The sequence below is a fragment of the Homo sapiens genome, chromosome 2 (assembly GCF_000001405.40).
Source record: "Homo sapiens chromosome 2, GRCh38.p14 Primary Assembly".
In the NCBI taxonomy this organism is placed as follows: Eukaryota; Metazoa; Chordata; class Mammalia; order Primates; family Hominidae; genus Homo; species Homo sapiens.
The window spans coordinates 81,207,956-81,227,388 of record NC_000002.12 but is presented as its reverse complement, the minus strand read 5'-3'; positions in this window follow the sequence as shown (position 1 = coordinate 81,227,388).

Sequence of the window (19,433 nt, the reverse complement as noted above, 5' to 3'; positions counted from 1 at the left end):
GTGCTTGAAAAATTGTAGACAATCAATGATAAACCTGATTCATATCATACAAGAATTTAATAAAATAGCAAATTATAAAGTTAACATACATAAATCAAGAGCATTCATATATACAAACAATAACCTTTTATTGAGGATATAACAAGAGAGAAATTGTATATATTAAGAATATAATGGTAGTAAAACTCCACTTAAAATAGAAACAATTTTTTTAAAAAAACCTAGAATTAAATTTGACAAGAAATGTTCATAGCCTGCATGAAGAAAACTTTACAATTCTCTATCTTTTGACTATCAATGTTCTCTTTCAGAATTATTTAAAATAGAAAGTTATAAAATGTTTAGCTTGAATGGCTTTTTAAATTGTATTAATAATGTCTCATGTTATTACATTGTAATTGAAAAGTATTGATAGCAATACTTTTACTTTATAAATTTTTCTGTTATTTGTGACAAATTATGATAACTTTTGTAACTGTCTTATATACACTGAAAAGACAGTTACAAAAGATAACTTTTGTAACTGTCTTCTATAACTAGTGTGTAAATTCAATATATAATCATATAAGCCTATTTGATCTGACTTGTACTGAGAGCAAAGTATTAATATTTTCTAGTATTTGTGTGTTTCTATGTCTTCTTGCATATCTGGAAAGTTTTGATTTATTTAAGTGGTTGATGCACTATTTTGTGTATAGATATTCATATGCATTATTTCTCCATTTAAAACGTAAGTTTTATTATTAAATTCTTTTATTTTTCTAACATTTAATGTTTTGTGGATTAAACTCTACTTTTTTTAATATTGCTATCACTACCCATGATTTCTTTTTATTTCAGTTTGGTATATCTTTGCTCATCCCTTATTTTTAGCTCTTTAAAATAATTTGGTATAGAAGTATTTCCTATATACAGCATATAGTTGTCTTTTTTGCAAGTGAAATTGAAATTTTTTTTTCTTTTTAACAAGTGAGCTAACCCCATTCACATTTAATAAGGCTGATAATTTTCTTTCCATTCAACCTAATCTCTTTTAGAATTATGTGTGTTATGTGATATGCTTATTTGTTCTTTTATATTTTGAAATTTCTTTTCATAATTAGGAAGGTTTGTATTTTTGTTGTTATGTAACATTTTAATCTCTGTTTGGTAAATTTGAATGAACTTTTGTTGTTTGCTTTGTTTAATGAAGCCAATTTCTGCAGTTAACAAAGCTAATATTTTTTTAACATACAGTTTTCAGTACCCTCAGGGGGTGTAACTGGTCCTCAGACCTCGGTTAGAAGGAAGGAATACCTCAAATATAAAGACTGGAATCCTTTTGTTCTGGCAATCACTGTCTTCCAGAGTGTGAGCCTCAGACGTAAACTGGAGATCAAATACTTGAACTATTACCATCTGTAAGCGGCCAGTTCCAGGTTTCTTGACATTTGCTGACAATGACACATTTGTTGTTGGAGCTTCATAGTGCATACACTGAACACATCTAAGCGAATATGTAACTATTCTTCCTTTCTAGATCTAAGGGTATCCTCATACTTTTTTTACAGTAAACAGTTAAATTTCTCATAGAAATACAATAAAAATTTAACATGAATGCTGATCAAACTCAGTAGAGGCCTCTGACAATGTTCTTACAGCAGGCTCACAATAGGTGCAGTAATATGTCATAAATGTGTTAGTGCAGTATTAAAGTGATCCTGTACCACAATTTGTAGAATCAAACATAATTGAAATGTCTTCAATAAACAGGTGAGATAGTGTAGGCTATGACACTGGAGTATATTTTATTAATAGACAGGAAAGGAAATGTAAATGATGTCAACTAATTACTGACCACCGTATCTCCCATTATTATGTCTCTCCTCTTCTACAGTGTAGATTAACTGCCAATATGCCTCTTGACCTTCTAGGGGATTCTGACCATTTTATTTAATCCAGACAACCACTGAAATGAAAACATCTTCTCCTCCAAACTTATCGCCTTTTTTGGACCAGAAAAGAACAAAAAACTTTCTTTCTCTCTCCCTTTCTCTATGAAACGCGAATTATTAAAATCATTGCATATAAACTGAGTTCATGAGATAAAAGTATTTTTCCTTTAGATAACTTCATATGAATACTCACATTTTTGAGAAACAGTTTCTAAGACCCTGTTTATTTCAGAGCAGAAATGGCATGACTCCCAACTGTACACCCCGTCCCTATCCAAGGATGATCATTCATCCACAGTCAAGAGAAATGAAGTGTTAATATACATGAAATTAATGAGTGTCTCATTAATACCACAATGTTAGGATGTTAACTAATACCCCAAATGTTAGATCTGTATCTCTGCGTAGTGTTCATGATTTTAATCTGCTAGTGTATACTAGATGCTGTATGTCATTGCATTGAAGTCATAACATAAGAGCATTTAGGATTGATCTTTTTCTGAGAAGTCAGGATGTTAGGGTATTCATATTTCTCTTTTTTTTTTTTTTTTTTTTTTTTAAAGAGTCTCGCTCTGTCACCCAGGTTGGAGTGCAGTGGTGTGATCTCGGCTCACTGCAAGCTCTGCCTCCCAGATTCACACCATTCTCCTGTCTCAGCCTCCCAAGTAGCTGGGACTACAGGTGCCCGCCACCACACTCGGCTAATTTTTTGTATTTTTAGTAGAGATCGGGTTTCACAGTGTTAGTCAGGATGGTCTCGATCTCCTGACTTCGTGATCCGCCCACCTTGGCCTCCGAAAGTGCTGGGATTACAGGCATGAGCCACCGCGCCTGGCGGGTATTCATATTTCTCTAATGTAATGTCTGAACCCTTGAGTTACTAAGTTGAATGGGATTTCAGCGGGGAAGGGCTGTAATTGGCAAAATAATGTTAGACTTGAGTACGTGAAATCTGGGGTATTGTTCTGACAGCCTAAGACTCAGAGAATAACTGCCTGAGTAGAGTTCTGCACATTTGTTAAGAGTCCACTGGAAAATATTCTCCCCAATATTAAACAAATATGAACTGGAGAAAGAGATAAAGAGAGAGAAAGAGGGAGAGATTTGGTAAGGTTCTCTATGATACCATACTATAATATGAACATAATTTATATGTTGCTATTATATCCATACATATTGCTGTGTTCAAACTATGCAATTTTCTTAAACTCTCACCTACACCCTCTGCAATATATGGTAAACCTGAGTATGGGATGAATTTTCGTCTTAATACAATTTCTTAGTTCAGGATAAAAAGAGGGTTATGGGAAAACAGAATCAGTGATTGTTTCTGATTGTCCTGTGGAATTTGTTATTTTTCTTCTTTGATTTCTAGAAAAAAAACTGAACTCTGTCGAACATTATATTCCTGTAAGATTGAAATAAAGCTGGGTTTGGCAAAGACAGTTGAATGCATAAATGTTCTTTGCGGCCATACGAGGACTATTCTTCAAAATCAAAGGTGGAACTGATTTGTTAATTCCCATTATCTACCTGACATAATAATATTCATTAAATACAAGTACAAGACAGGGTTAAATTATTCATTGGGTTGAGTGTTTATTTAGTAATTTTTGCATTCACCAAGCATTAAATTCATATGTTCACAAAACATTATCTGCAATAATAGGAACCATAACACATTGACAGATAATGCATAGCACTCGTCTTTGAATAGCAAAATTTTTAAATATCAAGATTTTTAAAATAAACCTATAGACCATTTTTTTCTTATAGCCTATATATGTGTTCCAATGGCCATAACATGATTATTTCAGTAACTGCCATATTTTTGTTTCCCCCTTTGCAGGAAACAAAAGATGACTGTTTTCCTAGTTAGGCGAACAACACGGCTTGACTTAAAAGAAGCTCTTTTGATTTCCAGAACCCTCTAATGTGGCCATTTTCCAGGGGAAATCCATACTGAATACTACCTGTCCAAACCATCAAAATCTCTCTTTCTGAAAGTATATAGATGAGGAGCATATAGAACCTGGAATTCATTTTTATTTTATTATTATTTTTTAAATTTTACTTTAAGTTCCAGGATACATGTGCAGAATGTGCAAGTTTGTTATGTAGGTATACATAGGCCATGGTGGTTTGCTGCACCTATTAACCCTTCATCTAGGTTTTTAAGCCCCATATGCATTAGGGATTTGCCATAATGCTCTCCCTCCCCTTTCCTCCTATGGAGCAATAGGCTGCAGTATGTGTTGTTCCTCTTTCTGTGTCTGTGTGTTCTCACTGTTCAACTCCCACTTATGAGTGAGAATATGTGGTGTTTGGTTGTCTGCTTCTGTGTTAGTTTGCTGAGAATGATGGCTTCCAGCTTCATCTATGTCCCTGCAAAGGACATGAACTCATTCTTTTTTTTATGGTTGCATGGTATTCCACGGTGTATATGTGCCACATTTTCTTTATCCAGACTATTGTTGATGGGCATTTGGGTTGGTTCCAAGTCTTTGCTATTGTAAATAGTGCTGCAAGAAACATACATGTGCATGTGTCTTTATAGGAGAATGATTTATAATCCTTTGGGTATATACCCAGTAACGGGACTGATGGGTCAAATGGTATTTCTGGTTCTAGATTCTTGAGGAATTGCCACATTGTATTCCACAATGGTTGAACTAATCTACACTCCCACAAACAGTTTAAAATTGTTCCTATTTCTCCACAGCCTTGGCAGCATCTATTGTTTCCTGACTTTTTAACAATTGCCATTCTGACTGCCATGAGATGGTATCTCATTGTGGTTTTGATTTACGTTTCTCTAATGATCAGTGATGATGAGCTTTTTTTCATATGTTTCTTGGCCACATAAATGTCTTCTTTTGAGAAGGGTCTTGTACCAAAACAGATATATAGACCAATGGAACAGAACAGAGACCTCAGAAACAACACCACACATCTACAACCACCTGATCTTTGACAAACCTGACAAAAACAAGCAATAGGGAAAGAATTCCCTATTTAATAAATGGTGCTGGGAAAACTGGCTAGCCATATGCAGAAAACAGAAACTGGACCCTTTCCTTACACCTTACACAAAAATTAACTCAAGATGTATTAAAGACTTAAATGTAAAACCCCAAATCATAAAAACCCTAGAAGAAAACCTAGGCACACTGACTTCCACAATGGTTGAACTAGTTTACAGTCCCACCAACAGTGTAAAAGTGTCCCTATTTCTCCACATCCTCTCCAGCACCTGTTGTTTCCTGGCTTTTGAATGATTGCCATTCTAACTGGTGTGAGATGGTATCTCATTGTGGTTTTGATTTGCATTTCTCTGATGGCCAGTGATGGTGAGCATTTGTTCATGTGTTTTTTGGCTGCATAAATGTCTTCTTTTGAGAAGTGTCTGTTCATGTCCTTCGCCTACTTTTTGATGGGGTTGTTTGTTTTTTTCTTGTAAATTTGTTTGAGTTCATTGTAGATTCTGGATATTAGCCCTTTGTCAGATGAGCAGGTTGTGAAAATTTTCTCCCATTTTGTAGGTTGCCTGTTCACTCTGATGGTAGTTTCTTTTGCTGTGCAGAAGCTCTTTAGTTTAATTAGATCCCATTTGTCAATTTTGGCTTTTGTTGCCATTGCTTTTGGTGTTTTAGACATGAAGTCCTTGCCCATGCCTATGTCCTGAATGGTAATGCCTAGGTTTTCTTCTAGGGTTGGGGGGCGGGGGGAGGGGGGAGGGATAGCATTAGGAGATATACCTAATGCTAAATGACGAGTTAATGGGTGCAGCACACCAGCATGGCTCATGTATACATATGTAACTAACCTGCACATTATGCACATGTACCCTAAAACTTAAAAGTATAATAATAATAAAATAAAATAAAAAATAAAAAAAGATACAAGATATATAGAAAAGAAATAGCAAATGGAAGATGTAAGCCTTACCTTAGCAGTAATTACATTAAATTTAAATGAATTAAGCTCTCCAGTTAAAATGGAGATTGACAGAATGGATTTTAAAAAAACTATTCAACTGTACTACCTATAAAATCAACACACTGTTTATTTAATTATGTAAATAGGTTGGAAGTAAAAGGATGAAAAAAGATATATCACGTGAAGAATAATCAAAAGAGAACTGGGATTACTATAGGAATATTACACAAAATAAAATTTAAGACAAAAATAGTAGCAACAAAGAAAAATATTTAATAATGATGAGTCCAATTACCTAGAAAATGTAACAAGTATAAACACCCATTCCTCTAGTATACTGAAATAAGTGAAAGAAAGCTAAAGACATGCACAGAGAGAAACCTATAGCTGTAAATAGCTGCATTAAATTTTTTTAAGCAAGCTAAGGAAGAAAATAATAGAGGTTTCAGTGATTAAATGAAATAAAAATAAAAAACAGTAGAGGAAACTAACAAAATCAAAAGACAGTTTTTTGAAAAGATCAACAGTATTGACAAACCACTATATAGACTGAACAAGAAAAGGAGAGAGAAGAATTAAATTACTAAATAAAACATGAAGAATAGGTCATTCCTACAGAATTTACAAAAACAAAAAGATTTTGTGAAAACACCATGAGCATGAGCCATTATATGTTAACAAATTAGATAACTCAGATAAAATGGGAAAATTCCTAGAAAGACACAAACCAGCAAAACTTACTCAAGAAAAAAACCCAGCAAGTTGAAATAGAATCACAACCATTGAATTAACAATCAAAAAACTTCTCACCAAGAAAATCTCAGGACCACACTACTGAAGGCATGTAGTCCCGAGGTTTTAATAAACACCAATACTTTCAAACTTTTTCAAAAACAAGAGGAGGAGGAACCACTTTTGAATTCATTTGATAAGGCCAGTAGTACTTCAATATAAAAACCATGAAAACATAGTTTTAAAACTCTGTAAACTAATGTTCTGTATTAATAGAGTTTCATAAATCCTCAAGTAAATACCAGCAAACTGAATCTAATAACATAAAGAGAAATACACATCATGAATAAGTGAAATTATTCTATGAATGCAAGGTTGGTTCAATAAACAAAAATTAACCAGTGTAATACCCCATATTAATAGAAGAAAAGACAAAAAGCACATGATCATTCCAATAAAAACTGGAAAAAAAGAACCCTGACAAAATTCAACACTGTTTCATCTTTTTTAAAAACTCAACGAACTAGAAGAAAATGTCTTGATCCAATAAAGGATGTCTAACATATAATTTTAAAAACTCTACAGTTAACATCACAGTAAGTAAATTCAGAAATAAGGTGAAGCTGTCTACTGTCATCAATTCTACTTAATATTATATTATGGTGGAAATTAAAACTAGCAAAATTAGGCAACAGAAAAATTCAAAATATCCAGATTGTAAAGAAAGAAATAAAAATCTCTATGTGCAGATGACATGATCATATGCATAGAAAATAGTAAGGAATTCATAAAAATACTAGAGCTTATAAGTGCATTCGGAAAGGTCACAAGCTGTAAGCTCAATATACAAATATCATTTGTATTTCTACATTCTGGCAATGAACAATCTGAAAATGAAATGAATAAAACAATTCTATTTGCAATAGCATCAAAAGAAGTAAAATATTTAGGGATAAATTTAACAAAAGAAGTGTAAAACTTGTACACTGAAAACTATAAAATATGATTAAAAAATAAAGAAAACCAAATAAACAAAAATTTATTTAATGTTCACAGACTGAAAGACTTGTTATTGTTAAAAGGCAATAATTCCCAAATTGATAGAGTAAATGTAATTCCTTTTAAATAAGAGCTACTTTTTTTTTCCTGCAGATATTTTCAGACAACACTGATCAGATATAAAATACAATCAATAAAAGCAATTATAAAATCATTTATATCCCCAAAAGAGGCAAGGACAAATATTGGTGAAAATATGAAGAAAGGGGGAACTCTCCTGTTGGTGGGAATGTAAATTAGTACAACCACCACAGAGAATAGTTTGGTGGTTACTCAAAAAAATAAAAATAGAGCTACCACATGATCCAGCAATTCCAGTCCTGGGTATACACCCCAGTGGAAGGAAATCAGTATATCCCAAAGAAAGGAAATCAGTATATCAGAGAGATATCTGCATTCTCATGTTTGTTGTGGTACTGTTTAAAATAGCTAAGATTTGGAAGAAATGTAAATATCCATCAACAGATGAATGGATAAAGACAATGTGTTACACACACACGGAAGAGTACTATTCTGCCATAAAAAAGAATGAGATCTTGTTATTACCAGCAGCATGGATGGAAGTGGAGATCATTATGTTCAGTGAACTAAGCAAAGACAGAAAGACTCACTGCATGTTCTCCCTTATTTATTGGATCTAAAAATCAAAACAATTGAACACATGGACATAGAGAGTAGAAGGATAATTACTAGAGGCTGAGAAGGGTAGTGTGGGGCTGGAGGGGAGGTGGGGATAGTTAATGGTTATAGTAAATACAGAGAATGAATAAGTCCTACTATTTGATAGCATAATAGGGTGACTATAGTCAACAATATCTTAATTGTACATTTAAAAATAATTAAAAGAGTGTAATTGGATTGTTTGTAACCCAAAGGATAAATGCTTGAGGGGGTAGCTACCCATTCTTCATGATGTGATTATTTCACATTCCATACTTGTATTAAAACATCCTATGTACTCCATACATATATACACTCACTCTGTACCAGCAAAAATTTAAAAATTAAATTTTTTAAAAAAATTGCCTGCTGAAGGACATCTTGGGTGTTTCTAGCTTTTGGCTAATACAAATAAAACTACTATGTATTAAAAAATTAAATTAATAAAAGACAGAAAAGTTAAAAAAAATAATTTGAGTACACATTTATCCAAAGAAGATATATATATAGTTGTATAGTCAATAAGCACATGAAAAGATTCTCACTATCGTTAGTCATTAAGGATGCATTAGTCCATTCTCACACTGTTATAAAGATACTACCTGAGACTGAGTAATTTATAAAGAAAAGAGGTTTAATTGATTCAAAGATCCACATGGCTGGGAAGGCCTCAGGGAATTTACAATCATGATGGAAGTAAAAGGGGAAGCAAGAACTATCTTACCTGGCAGCAGGAAGGTGGCGGGGGTGGGGGAACTGTCAAACATCAGATGTTGTGAGCACTCACTCACTATCAAGAGAAAAGCATGGGAGAAACTGCCCCCATGATCCAATCATCTCCCACCAGGTCCCTCCCTTGACACCTGGAGATGACAATTCCAGATGAGATTTGGGTGGGGACACAGAGTCAAACCATATCAAAGGAAATGCAATGGATGGCTACAACCTGAAAGATAGTTGACAGTAGTATTTACAAAGATGTGGATAAATTGTATGCCTTATACATTGAAGATAAGAATGTAAAATAATGCAAATGCTTTGGAAAACAGTTTAGCATTTTCTTAAATAGTTAAATATAGAATTACCTTATTACCCAGTGACTTCATTCCTAGGTATACCCCCAAGAGAACTGGAAATATATTTATATAACAACCTGTACACGAATGTTCACACCATTATTTATTATGTTAATAGAATAATTTTAATTGGAAACAACCCAAATATCTATCAGCAAACGAATGGATAAACAAATTGTGCTATATGCCTACAATGGAATATTTTTCAGCCATAAAAATGAGTGAAGCATTTCTAGATGTTCTAGCATAAAAGAACCTTGAAAATATTATACTATCTGGAAGAAGCTAGATACTAAATGCTACATTACAGAATGATTTCATTTAGATGAACTGTACAGAATAGGCAAATCGATAGTGAATTGCCAGGGCCTGTATGGAAATGGGTAAGGGTGAGTGGCTGTTCATGAATTATACACTTTAAAATTGTCAGTTTTATAGTATGTTATTTGTGTCTCAAATTTTTAAAATCCTCAAATAAAATAAACCAACAAAAAATACTATCAAGACTATTGTGGTGGAAGTGACAGGGTGTAGCACACCTTTTTGCATTATCAGAACTTCACCATTGAGTACAAACTCGTGGGACTAGCAGCAATAAAACATGAACTGGTGGGGATTGATTTCTCCCCTCAGGACAGCAGCTGTGATGGTGGGCCCCAAACAGTATACGTGATGAATAACGAGGATGAGGGATCCATGATTAATGTAGGTATACCCAGGAGGTTTTAAGAAGAGATAGGAGGGAAAACTTAGACAAGGACAGGGCTGCCTGCTAATAAAAAATGTAAAATGCTGTAGTCTTCTAATTCAGGTGTTAAGAAAAATAAGGCCTAATTTTATAGCAATGCACTTTCAAAGCCAAAGCACTTGGTTTTCAAATTTATCATTTAAAAAATCCACATTGAGCAAAGTCCAGTAGTTATTCTGATAGAAAATATTCATCTTTATGTTAAGGAATTATAATTATCTTGCTAAAAGCTTTTCTTAGAGATGGATATTTCACTTTGTAAAATGATTTTTGGCCATTTATTTAGAGCATCATATGTTTTTATCTTATTAATGTGATGAATTTTAATAGTGTAATTCTCAATATGACTCATTTTTCTAATTTTAAATAAATCCTACTTGATAATTTTATAGAGTTCTTACATCTAGTACTTTATTCTAAATGTGTTAAAATGCCATATTATATAACCTCTAAAATCTTTATGCATGATAACAAAGAGTTTGTAAGGTTTTTTCCCTATGTTTTATAGTTTTATCCTCATGTTAAGCTACAATGGTATTCAGAAGCATTGCAGAGCTATCTATACTCATAATTTATTCCCTAAAGTCTTTAAAGTTTTAAATGAGTCACTCAAAAAGTTGAAAATGTGAACATATTTTATTTTTGATAGTTTATTTCAACCATTCTTGAGACTAGAGTTTGATACTGTGATAGAAAACAGAATTTGGAGTGGTGTAGGTTACTAGAATACGTAAGGCAGAATACCAGGAGGACAAAACTGCACCGAAAGACAGCTTGGGAGAACTACAGTTTCCTCCCTTTGTCCACTGAGTACTAAGATATGCGGGAATGGGATGAAACTCTCCAAAGATGCAGAAAAAACAACCACAGAAGAGCAGGCTCACCAAATCCTGTAGGTAAGACAGGATCATTAGGGAGAGTCCTCAGAAGGAATACACCTTAGTAGTAGGGCTAAATTAGCTTCAGAATAAAGGCTCCTTTGTATTTGGCATAATAAATAATAAAATGCAAAGCTTGAAATAATCAAGCTGTTGCCAATTAACTCTGCTAAACCAACATCCAATATCTTTTTTAGAAATACAAATTTGACACTTAAGTCCAATAAAAAATTGTCAGGTGTGCAAAAAAGCAGGAAAATAAAATAGAGAACCATGAAAAAATCTATCAATGGAAATAAAGATTCTATGATTAGCATTCAAGGTAAAACAGGTGTTATAAATCTTTAAAATATGCTCACAGAAATGAAGAAGAAACATAATAAAGAAGTTAAATAACCATGAATTAAAAGCCAAATTGAACGTAATAAAAATGAAAAATATAATATCAGAAAAGAAAAGCATATTGAGACTGAATTACCAACAGATGTAAGAAACAATTGGTTAACTTAAAGATATTATGCATATTCATAAATAAGAAAAGAGAACAACACTAAGAAAAATGAACAGAGCCTCAGTGAAATGTAGAATAAGTGTTTTAATATATAAGTAATGGGGGTTACAAATGGAAAGGAGAAAGAAGGAACCAACAGAAATAGTATTATATTTAAAATTGATGAAGTTTATTTTTATAAATAATTCCTCATTAAAATTAATTTTTAAAATTCTAAAAGTGTCAGGTTGGCTTCTGTCATTTAGAGCTATTGAGAAGTGTCAAGTTAATTTTTTCTCTTGTTGGCAGTATATCCTTCACTTTTGAACAAATGCTGAAATTAGTGAAAATTATTTTATTATTCTTAGCATGCTATCTACAGTAAGTGAAGCAGTGAATACCATGGTGACGCAATTGCTTAGAATGGGTTAAAATTTGTTGGCCTTTTTTGCAGATTTTAGGAGGCTCAAGGATTAACAACCTTAACTTCATACCTCCAGCAATATCTCAATATTGTACTTTACCCTAGTCCCCATATATGAAGTTGCTAATGGTTATTTGTTGGGTTTGCTTACATGTATTTCTTGATCAATTGATTTCTTTTTCCTCCACACATGTGGTGAATTACTGGCTGTTCACGTCTCTTCTCACACTAGTTTTGCCTGCAATATCTAGTTGCAGAAGCCACTTATCTTGGTTTCAAAGTTGTTAAAAGATTTACCTCTTTACCTGTGAAAATTGGGAAAACTCTAGGGAAGTAAACGTGTGGATGCAGAAAATCATATTAGAGAATTTTGGGGAATTTTAAAAATAAATTGAGATAATGAATGTAACATGATTTCTCTTATTCCACTATGTGTAAGACCCTGGGAGTATGCATTTAAAAACTAATATCTCAGTTAAATATGTTGTAATAAGGAAATAAACCTTTGGCAATTATGCATTAGATATGTTTCGACAGTTTTAGTGGAAGTGATGTCAATCAAACTCTGCATTGACTTGAATACACAGATTTATCAAAACATTAAAACCAGATCTAAATATATGTCTATATGGACAAAACTTATATTCTGCTAATCTAAAACATAAAAATATATAGATTCTTCAAACTGTTTACTAACATGAAGGTAAATAGAAATTAATGAAATAAGTTACTTCTGTATTTTAGTACTTAGATTTTTTTTTATTATTCTGCTAAGATGGATCTTAGAGAAGACAGATAAAACCTTTAGTTCTATAGATATTTAAATTGAAGACACAATTATACTGCTGCAGTTGACTAAGTGAAGTTCTACTTAAAAGAGGAGTTGTGATACAATTTTCTTTAATAATTTCTACTAAAAGGACACCAAAATTATCTTTTATCTTATATTTTCTTAATTGACAAGAAATAAGAAACTTTTGTTTTTGTTTTCCTTTATTTCCAAAACACCATCTCTGGAGCTACATTCAACTTGAGAGACAGGTAAACAAAATAATTAAGTTGTTTATAGCCAACTTTTTACTAAAAACAAATAAATATGTTACAAAATGTAATTTTACAAGCTAGTTGCTTGCATGTAACAATTCCTTAAGTAAGAAGGCATGGAACACAACTATTGCTTGATTTGGTTTAATTTTAAAACAAAATTAGATGAAAATTCAATGAGAGAAAAGAGAAAGCAGAAACATTTTAGGAGACAATAATAATTTCACAATAAAAAAAAGAACACATTTTGAAAGAGTCTGCAGTAGTAACTTGAAAGGCAGTTGACAAGTACAGCCTGATTGAGAAGCATGTATGATATCAGGAACAAAACCGAGAGAGAGAGAATAATGTTTAGTTGAAAACAACATAAAGAAACTTCAAACCCTGACACCAGCCAAAAATCTTTTCTAGGCTGAGAAATAATTGCAAACAGTAGGAAATACTCATTTAGAATTCACTAAACTGTCACAGCTTGAACCTAGGATACATTTCATGACCGTAAACAATCTTGAGTCTCATTTCAAGATAAATGAAGCACAAGGTAGAACCATTCACTCTTTTAAAGAGGGTCAAGCATACTAGACCACAGTCAGTTTTAGCAGACACAGGTGTGGTATCGAGGAATTGAAAGCAAACCAAGGTCAGCATGTGGGCATCAAGCCATAACAGGCTAGAGTTGATGAACTTTCTGTCTTTTCTTATCTCTTTGTGATTTAACCTAACAATTGTCCATATTTCTGGGACAGAGACAGCCTTGGGAAAATAGTGGTAAAGGCAAATTTATCTGGTGCCTATGTGTTAATTATATCAGCACTCTTAGTTTTTCTTCCTAGGCATCTGTTTCCTACACTCCAATTTCATGAGACCTTGCTCCAGGATACCTGTTAAATAATCAATTTTTAGCATCAGAGCATTACTTACTTATATGATATTAGAGAAAGCAAATATCTTAGATCTTACTTTATGATCACACACTTGATTCTCTTCCAATGAGACCAACTTATAAGGTATATAATCAGGTATATAATCCCTGATCCCAGGGATGAATTTCATTAACCACGACTGTGTGTAGTGATGCTGGTGGTGAACAACTTAGTGGTAGGAGCCATGGGATCACAGGGAGCCTGATCCAAGGAAACACCCATGGTCTGGCTTTTCTCTGTTTCTTTTCACCAGATGACTTGGCTTCAAACAAGGCCAGTGGCCGCAGGAGCTCCAAAATTGTTAACAATCTATTTCTTAGACTTGTACATTCCAAAACTTACTACTTGTTTGTTCTTCTAGCAAGGAGAAATATATCTTAACAGAATTTACCATGAGCTTTAAATATAATACGTGATATGTATATATTTTAAATATAATACCTTGGTATCTTCCTAGGTTACCAATTTACAAGGATATTAATGGTCATTATGTGAGTATTAGCTTGGAATTCTCGGAGAAAGTATTATATATCTGCTTGAACACTTTTATTTTTTATCTCCATTCATCGTGAGTCAACTGAAGCTCAAAGACATTAGGTATCTTACCTAAAGTCACATGGCTAAGATATGATGAAATATTATAAAAGGGCTATTTCTTGTAGCAAGATATGTTCATATGACTCTATTAATGACGTTCTGAAGAATCAAGTTCTGAAAAGCCATGAAAATGGTTGCCAGATAAAATATAGTATGCTCATAAAATTTGAATTTCAGAAAAGCAAAATAATTTGTATAAGTATGTCCCAAATTTTGCACAGGATATATTTATACTAAAAAATATTATTTGTTACATTTCAAACTTACCTTAGGGTGTGTCATTTTTATGTACTAAACCTTACAATCCTACCCATGACCCAAGCAAATTGCCATAAACTCTACCTGCTTATTAGTTGATATCATGAAAGGCTCTATCAGAGAAATTTGATGACAAATAAGAACACATGGAGAAGAAACATTTACTTACTAAAGACTGTGCTGAAACAGAAAATATATGGCGAAGTCCTCTACTTTCGCAGAGTTTATAATTAAGTCATGTGGAGGAAAATAACCCATAGAAAGTAACAATGAGTGAAACAAGAAAATGAGCTAGTAGGTATTGTGAGTTATGAAGAGAAGAAAATCAAACAACATCAACTAGCAAGGGAAGATATCTTTAAGGGAGTGGAGAGGATGAATAGTTGGAAAGTGAAACTGTCTGGGGAAAATATTGTAAATTGCTTCTGATTCTTCCACTTGTGAAACACAGGAAATTTCAATACATTTCAATGCCTGTCATTGAATATGTGCAAAGGAAGCCAAAGCTCTCTCTCAAGCAGAGACAGCAACATAAGTGTATTCATCAAGAAAGGAATAATGAACAGACATAAGAGGAGACAATGATGTGAAGGTAAGAAAACTTTGAAGAGAGTAGAGCAGTTATTCTCAGTTAGGATCTCGATAGTGGCATCAGTATTACCTAGGAATTTGTTAGAGATGCAAGTCCTCCGCTTCACCCAAACAATGCTGGACCAGAATCCCTGGGGCCGAGGCCCAGCCATCACTATTTTATTTTTATTTTTTATTATACTTTAAGTTCTGGGTTACATGTGCAGAATGTGCAGTTTTGCTACATAGGTATACACATGCCATGGTGGTTTGCTGCACCCATCAACCCAGCACCTACATTAGGCATTTCTCCTAATGTTATCTCTCCCCTAGCCCTTGACCCCCTCAATAGGCCCTGTTGTGTGATGTTCCCCTCCCTGTGTCCATGTGCTCTCATTGTTCAATTCCCACTTATGAGTGAGAACATGAGGTGTTTGGTTTTCTGATCTTGTGATAGTTTTCTGAGAATGATGGTTTCCAGCTTCATCCATGTCCCTGAAAAGGACATGAACTCATCCTTTTTTATGGCTGCATAGGATTCCATGGTGTATATGTGCCACATTTTCTTAATCCAGTCTATCACTGATGGACATTTGGGCTTGTTCCAAGTCTTTGCTATTGGAAATAGTGCCGCAATAAACATACATGTGCATGTGTCTTTATCATAGAATGATTTATAATCCTTTGGGTATATGCCCAGTAATGGGATTGCCGGGTCAAGTGGTATTTCTAGTTAAGTTTAAGTAGTCGTTCATGCATCTTGAGTTGATTTTTGTATAAGGTGTAAGGAAGGGGTCCAGTTTCAATTTTCTGCATATGGCTAGCCAGTTTTCCCAACATCATTTATTAAATAGGGAATCTTTTTCCCCATTGCTTGTATGTGTCAGGTTTGTCAAAGATCAGATGGTTGTAGATGTGTGATGTTATTTCAGAGGTCTCCGTTGTGTTCCATTGGTCTCTATATCTGTTTTGGTACCAGTACCATACTATTTTGGTTACTGTAGCCTTGTAGTATAGTTTGAAGTCAGGTAGTGTGATGCCTCCACCTTTGTTCTTCTTGTCCAGGATTGTCTTGGCTATGCAGACTCTTTTTTGGTTCTATATGAAATGTAAAGTAGTTTTTTCCAATTCTGTGAAAAAAGTCAGTGTTAGCTTGATAGGGATAGCATTGAATCTAAAAATTTCTTTGGGCGGTATGGCCATTTTTATTATATTGATTCTTCATATCCATGAGCATGGAATATTTTTCGATTTGTTTGTGTTCACTCTTATTTCCTTGAGCAGAGGCTTGCAGTTCTTCTGGAAGAGGTCCTTCACATCCCTTATAAGTTGGATTCCTAGGTATTTTATTCTCTTTGTAGCAATTGTGAATGGGAGTTCACTCATGATTTGGCTCTCTGTTTGTCTGTTATTGGTGTATAGGAATGCTTGTGATTTTTGCACATTGATTTTGTATCCTGAGACTTTGCTGACGTTGCTCATCAGCTTAAGGAGATTTTGGGCTGAGACGATGGGATTTTCTAAATATACAATCATGTCATCTGCAAACAGAGGCAATTTGATTTCCTCTCTTCCTATTTGAATACCTTTTATTGCTTTCTCTTGCCTGACTGCCCTGGCCAGAACTTCCAATACTACGTTGAATAGGAGTGGTGAGAGAGGGGATCCTTGTCTTGTGCCAGTTTTCAAAGGGAATGTTTCCAGTTTTTGCCCATTCAGTATGATATTGGCTGTGGGTTTGTCATAAATAGCTCTTATTATTTTGAGATGCATCCCATCAATACCTAGTTTATTGAGAGTTTTTAGCATGAAGGGCTGTTGAATTTTGTCAAAGGCCTTTTCTGCATGTATTGAGATAATCATGTGGTTTTGTCATTGGTTCTGTTTATGTGATGTATTATGTTTATTGATTTGTGTATGTTGAACCAGACTTGCATCCCAGGGATGAAGCCGACTTGATCATGGTGGATAAGCTTTTTGATGTGCTGCTGGATTCGGTTTGCCAGTATTTTATTGAGAATTTTCGCATCAATGTTCATGAGGGATATTGGTCTAAAATTCTCTTTTTTTGTTGTGTCTCTGCCAGGCTTTGGTATCAGGATGATCCTGGCCTCATAAAATGAGTTAGGGAGGTTTCCCTCTTTTTCTATTGACTGGAATAGTTTCAGAAGGAATGGTACCAGCTCCTCTTTGTACCTCTAGTAGAATTCGGCTGTGAATCCATCTGGTCCTGGACTTTTTTTGATTGGTAGGCTATTAATTATTGCCTCAATTTCAGAGCCTGTTATTGATCTATTCAGAGATTCAAATTCTTCCTGGTTTAGTCTTGGGAGGGTGTATGTGTCCAGGAATTTGCCCATTTCTTCTAGATTTTCTAGTTTATTTGCAAAGAGGTGTTTATAGTATTCTTGGTGGTAGTTTGTATTTCTGTGGGATCAGTGGTGATACCCCTTAATCATTTTTTATTGTGTCTATTTGATTCTTCTCTCTTTTCTTATTAGTCTTGCTAGTAGTGGTCTATCAATTTTGTTGATCTTTTCAAAAAACTGGCTCCTGGATTCATTGATTTTTTGAAGGGTTTTTTGTGTCTCTATCCCCTTCAGTTCTGCTCTGATCCTAGTTATTTCTTGCCTTCTGCTAGCTTTTGAATTTGTGTGCTCTTGCTTCTCTAGTTCTTTTAATTGTGATGTTAGGGTGTCGATTTTAGAACTTTCCTGCTCTCTCTGGTGGGTACTTAGTGGTACAAATTTCCCTCTAACACAGTGCTTTAAATGTGTCCTAGAGATTCTGGTACGTTGTGTCTTTGTTCTCATTGGTTTCAAAGAACATCTTTATTTCTGCCTTCATTTCATTATTTACCCAGTAGTCACTCAGGAGCAGGTTGTTCAGTTTCCATGTAGTTGTGCAGTTTTGAGTGAGTTTCTTAATCCTGAGTTCTAATTTGATTGCACTGTGGTCTGAGAGACAGTTTGTTGTGATTTCTGTTCTTTTACATTTGCTGAGGAGTGCTTTACTTCCAATTACGTGGTCAGTTTTAGAATAAGTGTGATGTGGTGCTGAGAAGAATGTATATTCTGTTGATTTGGGGTGGAGAGTTCTGTTGATGTCTATTAGGTCTGCTTGGTGCAGAGCTGAGTTCAATTCCTGGAAATCCTTGTTAACATTTTGTCTTGTTGATCTGTCTAATATTGACAGTGGGTTATTAAAGTATCCCATTATTATTGTGTGGGAGTCTAAATCTCTTCGTAGGTCTCTAAGGACTTGCTTTATGAATCTAGTTACTCCTGTATTGGGTGCATATATATTTAGGATAGTTAGCTCTTCTTGTTGAATTGATCCCTTTACCATGATGTAATAGCTTTGTTTGTCTCCTTTGATCTTTGTTGGCTTAAAGTCTGTTTTGGCTGGGTGCGGTGGCTCACGCCTGTAATCCCAGTACTTTGGGAGGCTGAGGGGGGCGGACCACGAGGTCAGGAGATCGAGACCATCCTGGCTAACACAGTGAAACCCCATCTCTACTAAAAATACAAAAAATTAGCCAGACGAAGTGGCGGGCAACTGTAGTCCCAGCTACTCGGGAGACTGAGGCAGGAGAATGTCATGAACCCGGGAGGCGGAGCTTGCAGTGAGCCGAGATCGTGCCACTGCACTCCAGCCTGGGTGACAGAGCGAGACTGTCTCAAAAAAAAAAAAAAAAGTCTGTTTTATGAGAGACTAGGATTGCAACCCCTGCTTTTTTTTTGGCTTTCCATTTGCTTGGTAGATCTTCCTCCATCCCTTTATTTTGAGCATATGTGTGTCTCTGCACATGAGCTGGGTCTCCTGAATACAGCACACTGATGGGTCTTGACTCTATCCAATTTGCCAGTCTGTGTCTTTAATTGGTGCATTTAGCCCATTTACATTTAAGGTTAATATTGTTATGTGTGAATTTGATCCCGTCATTGTGATGCTAGCTGGTTGTTTTGCACATTAGTTAATGCATTTTCTTCGTAGTGTCGATGTTCTTTAAAATTTGGAATGTTTTTGCAGTGGCTGGTACCAGTTGTTCCTTTCCATGTTTAGTGCTTCCTTCAGGAAGGAGCTCTTGTAAGGCAGATC